At 38.4% G+C, this 19,972-nt stretch overlaps 1 protein-coding gene, 1 long non-coding RNA gene and 1 pseudogene across 2 annotated transcripts in view, besides 1 other annotated feature; 2 read left to right on the top strand and 1 right to left on the bottom strand.

Moving 5' to 3' along the window:
• LOC124902750 (uncharacterized) overlaps positions 1-336 on the top strand; it is an 80,188-nt gene extending 79,852 nt beyond the window's left edge. Inside the window, exon 3 of the long non-coding RNA XR_007062881.1 lies at positions 266-336. This is a non-coding gene — a long non-coding RNA (uncharacterized LOC124902750). The remainder of the gene's footprint in view (positions 1-265) is intronic.
• DDX10 (DEAD-box helicase 10) overlaps positions 1-19,972 on the bottom strand; it is a 275,859-nt gene that overhangs the window by 241,085 nt on the left and 14,802 nt on the right. Inside the window, exons 7-9 of the mRNA NM_004398.4 lie at positions 10,781-10,907; positions 7,805-7,967; positions 6,243-6,327 (exon numbers count right to left, since the gene is read on the bottom strand). Of these exons, the coding sequence (NP_004389.2) occupies positions 6,243-6,327; positions 7,805-7,967; positions 10,781-10,907 (375 nt within the window). The remainder of the gene's footprint in view (positions 1-6,242; positions 6,328-7,804; positions 7,968-10,780; positions 10,908-19,972) is intronic.
• RPS2P39 (ribosomal protein S2 pseudogene 39) lies at positions 8,887-9,554 on the top strand (annotated as a pseudogene).
• Positions 18,065-19,972: part of a mitotic recombination region, noted in NCBI's record as "NUP98-DDX10 recombination region recombines with the NUP98 intron 12 (DDX10) recombination sub-region of the nucleoporin 98kDa recombination region", that runs on past the window's edge. NCBI's record gives the evidence for it as "EXISTENCE:Southern hybridization evidence [ECO:0000078][PMID:9166830]".

Raw genomic sequence — 19,972 nt, 5'->3', positions numbered from 1 at the left:
GAGATCCCACACCTCTTCTTGTTTCACTTCTACCTCAGGATTGTTTTTATCCTTGAAATCAGAGGTAAAATTTGACGTTGGGTGTGGTAGGCAGCTTATAAAACAACTCCCAATAATCTGCACCTCCTGGTATTGACACCCTTGTGTAGTCCCCCTACAAGGAACAGAACTGACATGCAACCCCAGGATGTTACAGGAAAGATGGACTGTGACTTCCAAGTCTAGGTCATGAAAGACATTACTGCTTCATCTTTCTCTCCCTCAGCTGTCATTTGCCCTCTCTGATGAGGTCAGTTACCATGTTGTGGCTATCCTGTGAAGAAGACCAGATGAAAAGGAACTGAGAGATGCCTCTGACCAACAGCAGAGGAGGAAATGAATCTGGAAACAACCATGTGAATAAATCTGAGAATGAATGCAACCCTAGCTGAACCTTAAAGTACCATCTGACACCTTCATTACAGCCTTGTGATAGACTGAGAGCCAGAGGACCCAGATGAACCACACTGGGTACCTGACCCACAGAAGCTACAAGATAAATGGTTGCTGCGATAATAAATGGTTATTGCTTTAAACCACCAAGCCATGGGTCAATTTGTTATACAACAATAAATAATTAACATATTAGGTAAGATCTGATTCATGAGTCTGAATCACTATCTCAAATGTAGTCTACTACATGTCAGGTCCTGTTCTAAGCACTTAGGGTACATCAATATACTAGACAAACATTGCTGCCTTTATGGAACTTACAATCAAGGTGAAAGCAATGTAAAAATATACTAAGTAAATACTCCAGTATATTTGAAGGTGATAAAGGACTTTGGAGAAAGGAATGTCAAGCAGGGTTAAAAGGAGTGGTTGGGGAGGGTGAGGAAGACAGCCATGTGGATACTTGAGGAAAATGCATTCCAGCAGAAAAGAGACAGCACCAGTATAAAGGCCCTACGGGCAAAAGCACGCCTGGCACATAAAAGAAACAGCAAGACCAGTACGGAGCATAGAGAACAAGGGGAGAATACTAGCAAACTGGGGGGAAACGGATGAATAGTTTAGGCCCAGGGGGTCATTGGCTTTCACTCTGAGTGAAATGGTATGCCATCAGAGGAGTGATATAATCCGACTTATGTTTTAGAAGGAACACTGTGCCTGCTGTATTGACTAGACAGGAGAATAAAGTGGGGGCACCCCTATTCCTAAGGGGTGCCTGGGAAACAGACTCCTAAGAAATACTCCCAAGGGTACCTGGGAAATAGACTCCTAAGAAATATCAGCCCTCCTTATCTACTCCTACAGCCATACTGGCTATACTCTCCCCCAGCTCCTCATTGCTTCAAGATGCAAAATAAATTTGCTGTGACCTTTTATGCAACCTTTAAATCATAGATACCAACAAAAGCAGGTCACGTAAAGAAGCATCAGCCACTATCTACGAGGAGCAGACTGCAGACCTTCACAAATGTAAGCTAAAGGAATTAAAGAAATCATTTTCACTAACAAAGATTGCTCCTATCTTATATCTAAGGTACACATGGTAAGCCTTGGAAAGTTAATGCTCATGAAAACTGTCTTTTTACTTTTATTATTTCAATTCACAAACCAATTAAAGACACTATTAAAAAATTCTCATTAGCTATTCCATAAAGTACCAGTATTCTCCCACAACCAGCCATGAACTCTTCAGAAGTTATTACAGATTTTAACTAGTGGCCATCTTCCTCTTTTCTAAGATCTAAGCTGCTGCCAGTGAGTGTGCAATGCTAAGGTTTGGCCTCTGCTGTCCCCTAGTGGAATCACATTCTGCTCCTTATGTTACAGAATTTCTGAGCGCCACAAAATGTAGCCAGGCACATAAGGCTAAATTAGAATATTGCTGAAATTATTTTATCTTCTACTATTCTGGGGGAAAAAAATAGTTATATATAAATGCCCATCTTCTACCCACAACCCTCCCCTACCCTCCCCAAATAAAAACATTTTTTAAAGTTGAGAATATCTGATGTCTATTTTCCATTCCCAAATATTTTCTACTTTCAACTGGACATTTTTATAAAAACTGGAAGAGCTTGGTTTTGTACCAAAAGAACTATAAGCCCTAAAGAGAATTGCTTTTTAAAGTGACAGAATGTATCACAGGATAGAGCATTATAAAACTATATTCATATACCTGGCCTCACTTATCTCTAAAGGAGATCATTTTGTTAAAAGGGGTGTGCTGGTTAAGGAAAATACAGGGAAATTTCTCAACTGCTATAGATCAAAAGGAATTTAGAAAGGTAAAATTAATTAATACAGAATTAGGTACTTCAAGACAAAAGTACCCAAATCACTTTTTTAGCTAAAATATGGAAAGAAAAAAAGATTCCCCAAATCTTAGCTATTTTGCTAATGAATTTGTTTTCCTATATCGATATATTATAGTTCAATTGCAAAAGCAAACACTATCTGGCAACTTGGTCTTAATTACAGCCAAATACACAGGATTTTAATTAGATTCTAATTTTAATTTAGCCTTTATTCAATTCAATTATTCAGTCTCATGGCCCACAAAACTTTCTAATTATCTTTAAGCCCATTATTGGCAAGTTTTAAACTGCCAGAAAAAAAAAAAAAAAAAAGCATTATATATGCTAAACCTTTCCACATACTATACATCTAAAATAGTCAAGTAAAAATACTTTTAATTGGTTACAAAAGGTCAAACAGGCTTGTGCTTTAAAAGTTAACGACCATACTAAAAATTACATTAAAACATTTTTTTCAGATTAGTATTCTCTCTCTTCAGACACAATAATGTGATGTTGTTCTAACTCCTCTTCATCTCCTCAGTCATTAAGACCCAATTTAATGTTCACCACGGCATGTTCAACTACATAAAATTTTCAACAACTTCTCTAGGAACCAAGAACCTTGAAATATTCCCCCCTCTAGAATCTTTTCCTGATTTATATTGACATGTCCAATAATCTTCATATAGGGAGAATTTTACTGCTAAATGTATTCTATTTATGAATCAGTCTGCCCTGTCCCCATCAATACCACTGGCACATCTAAAAAGAATGTAATACATATGAAAATAATCACATTAAAGAATACACTATATTAAAGATATCGAAAAGGAAAAGAAAAAATAAAAATAAAAAGCGCCTACACCCCTGGCCCAATGCACTTGTGAGATACCATATCCAACCCTGCCTATCCAGAGGCCCACAGGAGCACAGAATGCAGATATGTGCACAGGTACATGTAAAAATTTACACAACTACACATTTACTGAGGAGAATAACAGTGGAGAAGGTCATTCCACCAACCACCACTGATGACTTTCCAAAATACTCACTATGAATGACAATCAAAACAGGTACTCGCCGGGCACTGTGGCTCACACCTGTAATCCCAACACTTTGGGAGGCTGAGGCGGGCGGATCACTTGAGGTCAGGAGTTCAAAACCAACCTGGCCAACATGGTGAAACGCCATCTCTACTAAAAATACAAAAATTAGGCAGGTGTGGTGGCACGCGCCTATAGTCCCAGCTACTTGGGAGGCTGAGGCAGGAGAATCACTTGAACCCGGGAGGCGGAGGTTGCAGTGAGCTGAGATTGTGCCACTGCACTCCAGCCTGGGTGACAGAGCGACACTCTGTCTCAAAAAAAACAAAACAGAACAAAACAAAAACCATGTACTCAATACATTAAAGACCAATGAGGCACCATCTACCCCCTCATAAAAATGGAGAACAGGCAACTATTCTACCCATGTCCCATTTTAGTTAGTTCCAAGAAGAAAGAAAGTTCTAAAAACAAGTTTGTCTAAATGTACAGTATCATATACAAAACCTAATCCTAACTGCATTGCTTGTTTAAAACTACATCATTAATTGCAATTAAAAGACTTATTTTTGAACCCACTAATTCATAAATCCTATTTTTAAATAGTCTTTCATTATTATACTGTTCTCTCCCTTCTTTCATGCTGGTCAAAAGAAGCACATTTAATTTGAGTGCATTTTTATTATAAACCACGTTTAAAGATGGCCCACAGGATAAACATGAATCAATCAAAAAAAACAAAAAAAAAAAACACTTAAACACTCATACATTCAAACATCTTATGAAAATTAAATAGAATTTTAAGAAGATCTATTTCTTGCTAGGCTATAAAAAGACATAAAAACCTTCACTTCAGCTGAAACAAAAAGTGACCACATAAAAACAAAAACAAAAAAATTTTCTTCAAAGCTACCCAAAAAATATAAATGTATAGAAATCTAAAAGAACTAAACGCCAAGGGGACTTCCTAGGTAAGCAAGGGATAGCGTACACTTTCATACTTGGGGCCACTTGCTGAAGTGGACACAGGGCAGGTGGTAAAGCAAGCCTGCCAAACAGGACAGTCTGTGCTCGGGCCTAAAGATCCTCACATCCCTGGGAAAGTTTTGAGAAGAGTTTGTGGCATGAAATTGGAAGCAACCATTGGTCCAGTTAGACCAATCCTGGAATCCATATGATAAATACCCAATCATCCAGTTTTGATGAGAAAGAAAACAGAGCAAAAATGTAAAACTGAATAAATAGTCCATCTGTGGCTAACCATAATCATAATCTAAAGATCATAATAAATTCCAATTCTTAAACACTACAAACATCAGCAAGACAAATGTACATTGAAACTTTATTCAGCTCTCTATTTTCTTAAGATCCATTTCTGGATGTGGAATTACTAAGACAAAAACAAGAACTGTAAGGTTGTTAATAAGTATTACCATATGCTATCCAGAAAAATGTTAACCATTTACAATTCCACCAAGAATGTATACCTCCCAGCTTTGCTGCTACAGCTTAACAGCAATGACAGATTGTGTAATCCTTTTTGATTCATTCATATACCTTTCTATGCCACTTAATTCCAAATGACTGACTTTACTATGGTTTTTTTTTATTTGTTTTGTTTTGTTGTTTTTGAGACAGAGCATCACTCTGTCGCCCAGGCTGGAATGCAGTGGTGCGATCTCGGCTCACTGCAACCTCCGCCTCCCGGGTTCACGTGATTCTCCTGCCTCAGCCTCCCAAGGAGCTGAGACTACAGGCGCACACCACCACTCCTGGCTGATTTTTTTGTATTTGTAGTAGAGACAGGGTTTCACCATGTTGCTCAGGCTGGTCTTGAACTCCTGACCTCGTGATCCGCCCACCTCGGCCTCCCAAAGGGCTGGGATTACAGGCATGAGCCACCATGCCCAGCCTACTACATTCTTTTCTAGACAGTTCCTCATACCTCTTGAGCAAACATAGGATACTTTTGGGAGGAAGTGGGGAGTATAGGAAGAAGGAGAGATAGGGAGTGGTCTTCAGCAATGTCTCTGTTTCCTGAACTAGGAAGAAAGGAAAAAGAGATATCTATGATTCCAAATCACTTAGCCTCTTATTAGCCTATACTTTAGAAGGTAAGAGCACAAGATCTAGACTAGATAAGCCAGACTGCCTGGGTTCAAATCCTGGCTCTGTGGATCTTTGAACAAATTGTTTAACTGCTCAAAGATTCAGTTTCCTCACCTGAAAATAGGGATTTAATAATACAGTAAGTAGTCCCCCCTCTATCTGTGGTTTCGCTTTCTGTGGTTTCAGTTACCCCCAGTCAACCAAGGCCCAAAAAATATTAAATATATTAAATGGAAAATTCCAGAAATAAACAATTCATAAGTTTTAAATTGCTCACCCTTCTGAGTAGCCTGATAAAATGTCACACCATCCCACTGTGTCCTGCCCACAATGTGAATCATCCCTTTGTCCAGCATATGCACGCTTAAGACCCCACCCACTTGTTACTTAGCTGTCTCAGTTACTAGACTGAAAAAACATAGCATATATTGGGTTTGGTACTGAGATTTCAGGCATCCACTGGGACCTTGGAACATAACCCCTGAGGATAAGTGAGGACTACTGCAGTCCTAGACCTAACTGACAGGTCATTAGGATTCAATGAGATGACTTTCAATGAGCAGTTTTGCTGAAAAGTAAAGTACAAGAAAGTTTAAACAAACTAAAATAAGATTTTTATGGATTTTTTGCAGCACTAATCAAGTCTTAGCCATAATGATTTACAGTAGCTGTCAACTCACACCACAAAATGCCAAACCAGCACTCACTTACCTGATTCCTTTCTTCGTTTATCTGCAGTTGGAAAAGCATGCTTTGTTATTTAGATAGTAGCAAAAGAAAAGAAATTAGTCAGTACACCTACCTGGCAGTTCTACCTGCTCTGTGAATATATGTGTTGGCATCCTCAGGACAATCAAACTGAAGAACCCAATTCACGGCCGGGAAATCTACAGAGAAGGGATGTGAAGTTAAGAAACTGGTTGCAAGATCTGCCCTGCTGCACTATTTTTATCTTAAAATATTGCTTGCCAGGACTTTTCATCACATCAAACTGATGGATATCATCTATGAACTCTATTAAAAATAAAATTAATTGCATGAACCAAGAGATAGTAAACATTTCTCTTGACAAAATGAACTAAAATTAATGACTGTTTGAATATGAAGATTACTTCGTATCTGACACGGAAGAGACAGATTGCTTTGTGTCGGACAAACAGTGAAATACCCTAATATTTAATAACCCGAAAGCACCACTTCTAATGGGGACATGGACAAAGCTGGAAACCATCATTCTCAGCAAACCAACGGGAACAGAAACCCAAACACTGCATGTTCTCACTCATAAGTGGGAGTTGAAGAGTGGACACAGGGAGAGGAACATCACACACTGGGGCCTGTCTGGAGGTGGGGGACTAGGGGAGGGATAGCATTAGGAGAAATACCTAATGTAGATGACGGGTTGATGGATGCAGCAAACCACCATGGCACATGTATACCTATGTAACAAACCTGCACAATCTGTACATGTACCCCAGAACTTAAAGCATAATAAAAAATTAAGTAAAATAAAAACTAGTCAGGCATGGCGCATGCCTGTAGTCCCAGCTGCTGGGGAAGCTGAGGTGGGAGTATCACTTGAGCCTGGTAGATCGAGGCTGTAGTGAGCTATGATCATGCTACTGTACTCCAGCCTATACTAATAAATATGGCATCTGAGATATGCTTTAGAGTACTCCAAGAGGGACAGGGGGAGGATTATGAAAAAGATAATTGTTAAAGCTGGGTATATGAGGGTAGATTAAACATATTCAGCTTTTGTTTATGCTTCAAATTTGCTGTAATTAACAATACAATAAAATTAAGTGACTGAAGGATTCAAATTATCACCTATTTATTCTCACCCTTTGTTCCTAAGTCTAGTTTTCCTCTCTAGTTACGTCCATCCCCGTCCCATTCCCACAAAGCCAGGAGTTGTATAATCAACAAAGCAGGTTTTGAAAATAAATTTAACTACGCTAAATGTAGTTATTTATCAGATAAAAATTAGAATGATGAAAACATGGACTTCACTGATTTTTCTTGTTAAATGAGTTCAGTATCTATAAACAAGTTTCCAATTTTCAAAGAAATGGGAATTGTTTTCATATCTTTAAACTTTTAACCCCCTTTGATTTTGTAGGTTCCTCAGGATTCTATGGTGTGATTATCATGAAATAGTAAAAAAGATGCAAATACTGTGGAAATTTTCACTGATACATCCTTAATGTTAGTCAACTGCTACCAATTTACTACTTACTTTTCTCTTACAAAATAAGAAAAGAAACCCAAGTGTTTGAGTCTATCAGATTTCCCAAAATATACTTTATAAGCAAATTACATTTCACACAATCACAGAAATTTCATGATAGGAAGTTTTCTTACCCAGACCCCTGGCTGCAATATCAGTAGCAAAGAGTACTGCAGCTCTCTTACGGACAAACTCATTATAGACTTCCATTCTTCTCATTTGCTGCTGTCGACCATGGAGTGCAAGGATAGAAACACCAGGACGTAGCCGGCAAAACACTCGGTACAGATACTGGACCTGGGGCATCAACAGAAGAATAAGTTTGCTTATGGCAGATGGCAGCAATAAAGCTTTTCTCTTATCAACGTATCCCACAGAGTCTCAACAGCAGAGCAATGTGATACCCAATTCCAACCAAGTAAAAAAAGTAAAGAAACTCTTATTTAATCACAAGCAATTTAATTTCCTTCCCTCCTTTAATTCACATTTCTATTTCCTAACGTCACAGAATTGCATCTTAAGTTTGAAGCTTGAAAGCCTTTTATTGATGTTATCATAACTCATTTTCTACAAAAGAAAAAACTTATTTTAATTTCCTGTGGCCATAGGCTGACTGAACTTTCCTCTCAGACTCAGCAATTATTAAAATAATTAGTAATACAGAACTGATCAAACCAAGAAATATGTTGGGATTTGATTTAAAAAACTGTTAGACATAAATAAAAACATTGTAAATATATCTCAATGTGTGGGACTATATAGAGCTAATTGTTCTGGTTCTCTTTTTGTACCCATAAATGGATACTATGGATTACTAGACTGAAAAGAGTTCAGCATTATTTTATTTTCTCTAATATGGGGGTTAAAATCTGTTCACATAAATAAAACAAACTCAAAGGAAGTTTAATTCTGAGCTCCTATAAAATAGGCCAAAAGTCATAATGGATTATTCCAAATAATTTTTGGTGATCCAGTCGCTCAATTAAAGAGAAAGACCCCATTAAAGTCTCTCTTCAATTTTGCTGACAGTAAAGAATGGGAAACCAAGTGAATTGCTTGTTACCCAATCACTAGCCATTCACTTTCTCAAATGCAATTTGCTACTGCCAGGGAGGTTCTGATTCTGGGACAATATATCAGGCAAGTATCAGAGATAGCTGGACTTAGGCCTTTCTTTCGTAAAGATGTAAAAACAGCTTCTCCAAGAAAACATCAAATGGCAGATGATGCTGGTGCAGCGGAAGGGTCCACGGGACAAGGAATTGGAAACCACAGAGGCTTCGATGGAGGCTTCAGCAATAGCACCTGCAACCAAGGCCACTGAGGCAAAGCCAAGGGGTGGATGCCAGTCACAAAGCTGTGCTGCTTGGTGAAGGACATGAAGACCAAGTCCCTGGAGGAGATCTATCTCTTCTCCTGCCCATCAAGGAGTCTGAGGTCCTTGACATTTTCCTGGGGGCATCTCTCAAGAATGAGGTTTCAAAGATTACATGGCGCAAAAGTGGCCCACACTGGCCAACGCACTGGATTCAAGGCATGTTGCCACTGGGGACTACAATGGCCACACTGATACGGGTATCAGGTGCTCCAAGGAGGTAGCCACTGCCATTTGAGGAGCCATTATCCTGGCCAAGCTCTCCATTGTCCTTGTGCCAAGAGGCTACTTGGGGAACAAGATCGGCAAGCTCACCAGCCCTTGCAGGGTGACAGACCCTCTCTGTGCTGGTGAGACTTATCCCCACCTCAGGAGGCACTGGTATCATCTCAGCCCCATGCCCAAGAAGCTGCTGCTGATGGTGGGTATTGACAATTGCTATACCTCGACCAAGAGGCTGCATTGCCACCCTGGGCAACTATGCCAAGGCCACCTTTGATGCCATCTCCTACTCTAAAGAGTAGAAACTTTAAACAGAACTTTAAATAGAACTTTCAGAATCATTTCCTAGCACCTAGATGCCAAAACCAACTAACTCTTCTTTAGGAGATGTGAAGTTTATTGTTTTGTTGTTGGCTACTGCTCAGGATACACTTCCAAGTTGCCTTGAGGAATGCTCCCAGGAGACTGGAAGCTTTGAAAATCTAAAATCGGTCCTTGAAAAACTGAAGTCTTTTTTTTTTTTTTAAAGACAGGGTGTCGCCATCTTGCCCAAGCTGGTCTTAAACTTCTAGACTCAAGCAATCCTCCTACCTCAGCCTCTTAAAGTGCTGGGATTACAGGCGTGAGCCACCGCACCAAGGCTGAAGTCATTCTTTACATGGTAAAATAAGGTTCAGTAGACAACAGCATCAGATCACCACTTAACTTCCCATAAGCTAGAGAGAAACCCATCTACATATTTATCATGGAAAGTTATTGCAAAAGCTGTAAATCTAGAATTGATCTACTACATTCCCTATTAAGTCATTGGGAATCTGAAATATAGTACAGGAGAAGAGGCACACGCACGCACACATGCACAAAGACCGTAGTCCCTTCTCCTTAAGAGAGGAGACAAAGTTCTCTTAGACATCTCTGAAATCCTTATTCTTTATTCCTAGCACAGGGCTAGTGTTCAAGAAGTGTTTATTAACTAAGATATAAACAAAACACTTCAGAAGGTTAGGGGAGGGAACAACTGATTCTTTAAAAAGGGAGTGTCAGAAAGGGACTTTCAGGCATAACATTTGAACTTAGCCTCAAAGTAAGTATTTCCCCAGATTTAGATGAAGAGATGCAGGGAGGGCATTCCAGACAGATCAGCATAAACAAAGATATACGGCATGGAAATAAATGGTATATTCATTCCCATATTCTTGGAGGGTAAGGGAGGTATCAGATTATAAAGACCTCTGCTTAGCTTGGATAACAATTATTCATTCTACTAATATTTATTGAGGACTACATTTCCAGTATTGTTAGCACTTAACATAATACCTAAGAAAAGACACAGTTTCTGTCCTTGTGGAGTTGAAAGTCTCAGCCACGGATTCCTTTGCAACAAGGACACGAAAGATCCCTCACCACACCTAGCACTGTACTTCTCGTACAATATAATAATTTGTCTAATTGATTTGCCATTTCAAAAGGGACATTCAACATACGTTCAGAAAGCAAAATAAACAGCCAATACCTCTTTGCAACTGGAAAAAAATACAATGCTCTTCTTCTTCAGATGGCTTCTCAAAAAGGAATACAGCACACTTATTTTTTGCTGCAGCTCACAGACTATGTAGTTCTGTTCCAAAGTGGCAGGGGTGCTTGTGGAATTACGGAAAAGAAAAACATTAGAATATGTCATGTAAGTAACTGAAATCCAGACCAAAAAAGGAAACAAGTTTTAATAGTGGCACATCTCTCAAGCAAATTTCCTACACACATACACCAAAAAAAGAATTTTTCTCTATTGTCCCTTAGGAAACAAATTCAACACATTACTTTAAAACACATTCAAAATCCCTTGTAAATCAATGTCAAACAAAGCATGACAAGAACAGTGATTACCTCTAAAAATGCAGGGTCAAGGATTAACTAAGAAGAGGTGTAAGAGAACTTGCTGGGCTGATTAGTATTCCACATCTCATTAGGGCTTTAGATTACTGAGATATACACATTCATCAAATTCAACTGTATACTTACAATTTTCATATTTCATGGTACACAAATTTTATGCCAAAAGAAAAAAAATCTGTTCAAATATTAAACTCTCAGTAATACGTGTGCTGAAGTATTTGGAGAGAATACAGATATCTGCAATTTACCCTGAAATCCATCAAAAATAAAATGGGTTAATATAGAAGGGATGGATGAAAGCAAGTAAATGGATGCTACCATTAGATAGTATCTAGGTGTTTGGTATAAGGTATTTATGGTAGAAGTCTTTCAATGTACCATATGTTTGAAATTTCATTATAAAATGTTGGAGAAAAATATACATGCATTTACTCTTTGAATTAATAAACCTACTTTATTCCAACATTACTCTGGTTTTAAACACACACATATACACACACACAAATATATGGCATTATTTATGAAGCAAAAAATGATGAAAATCAACCCAAATGTCCATCAGTAGGGACTTGCAGTATGAACAATTACACAGCCACATACATTAATTATTATGCAACTGTAAAAAAGGAATGAAGATTCTATCCATATATTGCTGAGGAGTGATGTCTAGGACACACTGTTAAGGAAAGAGGTAAGGGGCAGAATAGTACAGATAGTTTGGTACTATTTATCAGGGGGCTATACATTATATATCCATATACATGCCCACCCATGTGTGTCTGTGTTTACAGTGAAAGAAAAAAGGAGGAGGGACAGACAAACCAAAAACTACAAGTCAACTGGTTTTAGATATGACTAAGTTATGATCCACAAAGGGAAGAATTGATAAGCTGGACTTCATTAAAATTAAATGTTTCTGATCTGTGAAACACACTATCAAAAGAATTAGAAGATAAGCCACGGAATGGAGAAAAATATTTGCAAAAAACATCTGATAAAGGACTGTTCTCCAAAATATACAAACAACTCTTAAAATTCAACAATAAGAACAGAAACACCCAATTTTAAAAGGGGGAAGGAGGCCAAAAATCTTAACAGACACCTCTCCAAAGAGGATATGTAGATAAAAAAAATAACCATATGAAAAGATGCTACACCAGCCTGGGCAACATGGTGAAACCCCATCTCTACAAAAAAATACAAAAGTTAGCTGGGCATGGTGGCATGTGCCTATAGTCCCAGCTACCTGGGAGGCTGAAGCAGGAGCATCAATTCAGGCTAGGGAGTTCGAGGCTGCAGTGAGCCATGATCATGCTACACTGCACTCTAGCCTGGGTGACAGAGTAAGACCTTGTCTCAAAAAAATAAAAAACAATTTAAAGATGATCCATATCATATGTCAACAGGCAAAAGTTAATTAAAATAACGATATGTCACTTCACACTTATTAGATGGCCAAAATCCAGAACAGTGACGACACCAAACGCTGGCAAGGATGTGGAGCCACAGGAACTATCCTTCACTGCTGGCAGAAATGCAAAATGATACTGCCATTTTGGAAGACAGTATAGCAGTCTCTTAAAACCAAACATACTTGAGGCCGGGCGCAGTGACTCATGCCTGTAATCCCAGCACTTTGGGAGGCTGAGGCAGGCAGATCACGAGGTCAGGAGATCGAGACCATCCTGGCAAACACAGTGAGACCCCATCTCTACTAAAAGTACAAAAAAAGTAGCCGGGCGTGGTGGCGGGCACCTGTAGTCCCAGCTACTTGGGAGGCTGAGGCAGGAGAATGGCATGAACCCGAGGGGCAGAGCTTGCAGTGAAGGGAGATTATGCCACTGCACTCCAGCCTGGGCGACAGAGCAAGACTCTGTCTCAAAAAAACATACTTTTAGTACCTGACCCAACTATCACGTTCCTTGGTATTTACCAAAAAGAGTTGAAAACATACGTCCACACAAAGATCTGCAAAAGGATGTTTATTGCAGCTTTATTCATAATTGCCAAAACTTGAAGGCAATCAAGATGTCCTTCAGTAAGTGAATGGATAAATAAACTGTGGTACATCCAGACAATGGAATATTATTCAGTGCTAAAATGAAATGAGCTATCATATCACTCCATGAAAAGACATGGAGCAATCTTAAATGCGTAATATTAAGTGAAAGCAACCAATACGAAAAGGCTACCATACTGTATGGTTCCAACTATACAACATTCTGAAAAGATGACACTATGGAGACAGTAAAAAGATCAGCGGCTGCCAGGGGAGATGAATAAATGAATAGGCAGAGCACAGAGGACTTTCAGGGCAGTGAATATACTGTGAAATACTATAACAGTAGACATATGTTATCATAAATTTGTCCAAATCAATGGGCTGTACCACACCAAGAGTGAACCCTAAAGTAACAGACTTTGGGTGATAAGGATGCAAAAACATAGGTCCATCCATTGTAGCAAATGCACCACCATTCTAGCAAGAGTGTTGATAATGGCAGAGGCTGCATGGGGACAGCAGGTATGTGGCAAATCTCTGTACCTTCCTTTCAATTTTGAGATTAACCTAAAACTGCTCTAAAAAAACAGTCTTTAAAGAAGAAATAGGCCATATCTATAGGGAATTATGGGAAACAGAATGAAGTTTTACAAAAGAGCAAAATGAAAACAATAAGCCCAAATATATATCAAGTTGATGACTAAATGACAAAGGAATTATTTCAAAGGAAATGCCTTTGAAGGAATTTGATTCCTACATCTTTACTGGGATGTCTAAGGAGAAAAAGAGAAATGCAAAGGAATCTTAAACTTTTATAAGTAATCATATTATCAGTAATAATATTGGTATTATCCTGAAACTATTTTAGATACACTGACAGATGAAACAGAAGTCTTTAGGAATGAATGTTTGGCAGAAGAGAAAAGAGATACATATTTTTTAAATGAGGCTTAATAAAAACCTTGTAATTCTAAATACCATTTGTAATTATCAGCATGAACTCTTTTAAAAAGGCCTGTCCACTGTAAAGCTTAACACAATGACCATGCCTGTTAGCACTTAGACTATGGTCTTTATATACCAGATCCTGCTAGAAGGATTTTATAAGAACTGGAGATAACCTTGGGAGGAGCCAAGATGGCCGAATAGGAACAGCTCCGGTCTACAGCTCCCAGCGTGAGCAACGCAGAAGACGGGTGATTTCTGCATTTCCATCTGAGGTACCGGGTTCATCTCACTAGGGAGTGCCAGACAGTGGGCGCAGGCCAGTGTGTGTGCGCACCGTGCGCGAGCCGAAGCAGGGCGAGGCATTGCCTCACCTGGGAAGCGCAAGGGGTCAGGGAGTTCCCTTTCCGAGTCAAAGAAAGGGGTGACGGACGCACCTGGAAAATCGGGTCACTCCCACCCGAATATTGCGCTTTTCAGACCGGCTTAAGAAACGGCGCACCACGAGACTATATCCCACACCTGGCTCAGAGGGTCCTACGCCCACGGAATCGCGCTGATTGCTACCATCAGAGTGAACAGGCAACCTACAACATGGGAGAAAATTTTCGCAACCTACTCATCTGACAAAGGGCTAATATCCAGAATCTACAATGAACTCAAACAAATTTACAAGAAAAAAACAAACAACCCCATCAAAAAGTGGGCGAAGGACATGAACAGACACTTCTCAAAAGAAGACATTTATGCAGCCAAAAAACACATGAAGAAATGCTCATCATCACTGGCCATCAGAGAAATGCAAATCAAAACCACTATGAGATATCATCTCACACCAGTTAGAATGGCAATCATTAAAAAGTCAGGAAACAACAGGTGCTGGAGAGGATGTGGAGAAATAGGGACACTTTTACACTGTTGGTGGGACTGTAAACTAGTTCAACCATTGTGGAAGTCAGTGTGGCGATTCCTCGGGGATCTAGAACTAGAAATACCATTTGACCCAGCCATCCCATTACTGGGTATATACCCAAAGGACTATAAATCATGCTGCTATAAAGACACATGCACACGTATGTTTATTGCGGCATTATTCACAATAGCAAAGACTTGGAACCAACCCAAATGTCCAACAATGATAGACTGGATTAAGAAAATGTGGCACATATACACCATGGAATACTATGCAGCCATAAAAACTGATGAGTTCATGTCCTTTGTAGGGACATGGATGAAATTGGAAACCATCATTCTCAGTAAACTATCGCAAGAACAAAAAACCAAACACTGCATATTCTCACTCATAGGTGGGAATTGAACAATGAGATCACATGGACACAGGAAGGGGAATATCATACTCTGGGGACTGTGGTGGGGTCGGGGGAGGGGGGAGGGATAGCATTGGGAGATATACCTAATGCTAGATGACAAGATGACAAGTTAGTGGGTGCAGCGCACCAGCATGGCACATGTATACATATGTAACTAACCTGCACAATGTGCACATGTACCCTAAAACTTAAGAGTATAATAAAAAAAAAAATTAAAAAAAAAAAAAAGAAAATCTATAACCTTAAAAAAAAAAAAAAAAAAAGAACTGGAAATAGATAAGATAAACTTAGAACACCAGAAAGCAAGGAGTCCAAAGATTACTAAAATGCATCTGAAGAATCAAGATAATAACTTGAAGCATCTACTAGCGAAGTTTGGGATGACACAAGATGAATATTAAATATAAAAATTTCTATTGATTCAAGGACATAAAAAGATGTTTAATCTATGAGTTAAGTATCATTAATTCATCATTAATTATCATTAAATCTGAGTTCATTTTTAGTACACACAACCTCCACCCCCCACCAAAAACAAATACTGCTAACCTTCAGAAAATACTAGGGAACCAACTCATTGGTGTTACAGCATACATTCTAATATTCTGGCTTTCCTGTAAGAACTGTACCTCAGAATCACATAGTTCATGTGAAAGCTCTTTGATATGAAAGTATTTAAACTAATGAAGAAATAATAGAATTAAAATATCACAATTTTGCAAACCCTGATGAAATAATGGAGCTAGGCAATAATTTCTATCAGCTGCTAAAATTGCAGGGCTAAGAAGCTGCTTGTATCAGATTAACCCTCTGGCCTAGAATAGCAACTACAAAAGCAGGAATAAATACAAAACAAAACAAAAAGACTGGCAGCATCTGAGAGCTACCAAGGCAGGTAGGACTTGAGGTGCTAAAGGAAAAAACAGAAATGCCCTGAGCCAAGCCCTCTGTTAACAACCTCACTTTTCTCCCCAAAAGCATTTGCTGATTGCAAGACAGGGGAGAAACAAGGTAGCAGCCTTAAGCCTAAACACATCAGTCGCAAGTCCCAGAGAGAAGGAAAACTGAATCTAAAATTTTTCATACAATTTACCCTTGAGGAACATGCCAACCCCTAAACAGAGCACACATAAGTCAAAATGAGGAAAAACAAGCAAAAACCAACCAACTGGGAAGCTACAGAACTGAGCAGAGATTCTGGCAGGGTCACAATGCTACGAGGTTCACAACTTGCCAAGACAGAGGGGCCCTGGTAGATACCTCAGTCTTTTGGTTGAGACCCTGAGAAAGGCTATGCCCCATCTGTGAAGATTATACCCCAAGTCTCAGGACAAACCAGAAATAGGATAACCCCAGAGTCTAATTGCCAGGCTAGACCAGATCAAGACAACCTGACCTTAAGGCATTTGCTGGCCAGAAATAAAGAAAAAATTACCTTCAAAGGAACAAGAGAACTGTCAGATGACTTTGACAGAAATAATGGAACTTAGAGTACAACAAAGATGTCTTTGAAGAGGAAAAAAAAACTGCCAAGATAGGCTTCAAAAAAAAATGAAGATGAAATAAAGAGGTTTTCAGAAAGGTCAAAACGCTGTTTCACTAACAAGTCTGCACTAAAAAGGAAATTATCTGAGCAAAAGAAAAATTCTCAGGTGGAAGGGTGACAATACAAGAAGAAGAACTGGGTAAGTCTAAATAAATACTGATGTTGCAAACAGTGATAACAGTGGCTTATGGGGCTTAAGATACACGTGGAATTAAAATACTTAACAATGAAGACACAAAGGTAGGAAGAAGTAAAGGGACCCAAATAATAATTAAATTAACTGTCAAAAGCAATTATCATACCAGATTAAAAATATGCTACTCACAAAGACAAATCTAAAAACATAGGGTGTAAACAATGTAGAAAGTACAAGGATGGGAAAGGATTCACCATGCAAATGCTAACTCAAAGAAAGTTGCTATAGGTAGACTAATATCAAACTAGACTTAAAGTTGGCCAGGCACAATGGCTCAGGCCTGTAATCCCAGCACTGTGGGAGGCCGAGGCGGGTGGATCACCTGAGGTTAGGAGTTCGAGACTAGCCTGGCCAACATGGTGAAACCCCGTCTTTACTCAAAATACAAAAATTAGGTGGGCATGGTGGTGGGCACCTGTAATCCCAGCTGCTCGGGAAGCTGAGGCAGTAAAATTGCTTGAACCCGGGAGGCAGAGGCTGCAGTGACCCGAGATCATGCCACTGCACTCCAGCCTGGGCGACAGAGCAAGACTCCATCTCAAAAAACACTAGACTTTAAGGCAAAAAAGAATTAGTAAAGATGAAAAGAAACATTTTATAAAATGAAAAAACACCGGGAGTAGGGAAGTGTTTTGCTACTCGTATTACAAATAAATAATTAATTTATCTAAAGGGCTCCTCCGAGCCAATAAGAAAAAGGCAAAAAAACCAAACCAAAAAAGACAGACTGTCCACAGAAAATAAGCACATACATGCAAAAAAGAAGCATTTCATAATGATTAATGTTTCAAATTGACAATGCAATTCTAAATTTGTATATACCTAATAACATAAGCTCATGACATATCTCAAATTTGAAATTTTTCATAATCCACCATAGAATTCAACTTGTCACTGAAAAACAGCAAATTGCTATGGCCCAAAGGCATATTCTCTCAAAAATAAAATCATTAGAAATACCAGTTGTCTATATATAACCACATAATGAAAACACTAGTATACTTTTTCTAAGTATGCTCTGACTTACAACTTCAGAAAGATCTAATTTTTCTTTAGTTGTTGTGTCCTTCACAATTTGAGAGTAGATACTCTCTAACACCTTAAAATATTCTTGATTATTATCTCTCCTGGTGTATGAACCACATTGATAAGCTACTAAAGTGGAAAAGCTAACATTGACATTAGATGAAATTCCTAAGAGCATCTGCTTTTTTATGTTTCCTATAAATTTGGAATATTAGAATACTGCAGCCATTATCATATAACCTGAGGTTTTGTAAATTATGTCAATACATGTCTACCTTCCAAAATTTTTTTCTGAAAATTTTGTCCACCACACTTTTATAAGTGATGGGACCGGGTTTCAAAAATCATTTGTGAAATAATATCAAAGTCTTTGTAGTTTTTTTCTAAAACTTTGTAATTTACAGAAAATAACCAACTCTTACCTACAGAAATTGGGGATAGGAAATAATACGTACAAATTAACTTGCATAAATTATGAAAGGTCTTAGAGACATCTAATGATTAAAAAAATCTGTCTGATGAATATTAAAAATAGGCTGGAGGCAAACAGAAAAAAGAGAAAAGTGAAAAATCCTAGACAAGCAGTCTTTACATTTTCAAGTTAATTGTTAATTGTCACAAAAATTTTCATAGCTATCTCAACTCTTTAAGAGATCAATGTCCACTCGAAAGTAAGCCAAGGGAAAAAAACTATACCTCACATATCTTACTATTCCATTCCCAAGTTCTTGAAAGTCAAAGATACCAGTACTCAGATTCCCCAAGATCACCCAGAAGCAAAGAATCTGGCCTCTTCGTCTCAGGCTTTTTAAATCCTAGACATACATTATACAAGGTCAAGATGGGCCTGAATACTCATATTTTCTCTATTTAAGGAATTTCCAGATAACACAATTCATTTTCCAAATCTATTTCTTTTTAGGCTAACATTTCAGAGCAAGAAGAAATAAAAATTTTAAGATATAAATAATAGAAGAGTTGAATTTACATTGCTATCTTCAACAAAAAATCCAACTTTATATTTACTGGAAAACATTTCTCCTGGAAGTCTGCAGTGATTCATACCAAATATATATGCTTCTAATTGTCATATGAAAATACAACTTAAAACATATCCCAGCTGGGCACAGTGGCTCATGCCTGAGTGTAATCTCAACACTTTGGGAGGCCAAAGTGGGAGGATTGCTTGATCTCAGGAATTTGAAACCAGCCTGGGCAATGTAGTAAGTCTTCAACTCTACAAAAAATTTTAAAATTAGCCACGCATGGTGGTATGCCCTGGTTGTCCCAGCTACTCAGGAAGCTGAAGCAGGAGGATTGTTTGAGCCCAGAAGTTGAAGGCTGTAGTGAGCTATATTCACACAACTGCACTCCAGCCTGGGTGACAGAGCAAGACCCTGTCTCGAAAAAAAGAGATAAATAAAAATTTCCCCAACTACTTGCATATCACAAACATACATACTTTTACTGTAACACATATACTTTAAGCTCTAGTTTTTAATGAGACCAAGACAAAACAATAGTTGCTAGAATTTTAGACTGAAAGGTATTTTGCTAAATATTAATGCACTTCATAAAATGTGTTCCATAACACATTAGTACTGCATAATCCTGCTAAAAAGGATGATTCCGTACCCAAAAAATTTGGTAAATGTAGCAAGCTACATCCACCTCCCTCCCACTGCTTTCAACAATCACAATGTCCCTGAAAATATTAAAGGTTGTGAGAAATAGAAATAAAACTGTTTCACTTTGACTCACCATTT

The sequence above is a fragment of the Homo sapiens genome, chromosome 11 (assembly GCF_000001405.40).
Source record: "Homo sapiens chromosome 11, GRCh38.p14 Primary Assembly".
NCBI classification, from domain to species: Eukaryota; Metazoa; Chordata; class Mammalia; order Primates; family Hominidae; genus Homo; species Homo sapiens.
The sequence above is the reverse complement of the archived record's forward strand: the minus strand, read 5'-3'. Positions and strand labels throughout refer to the sequence as shown.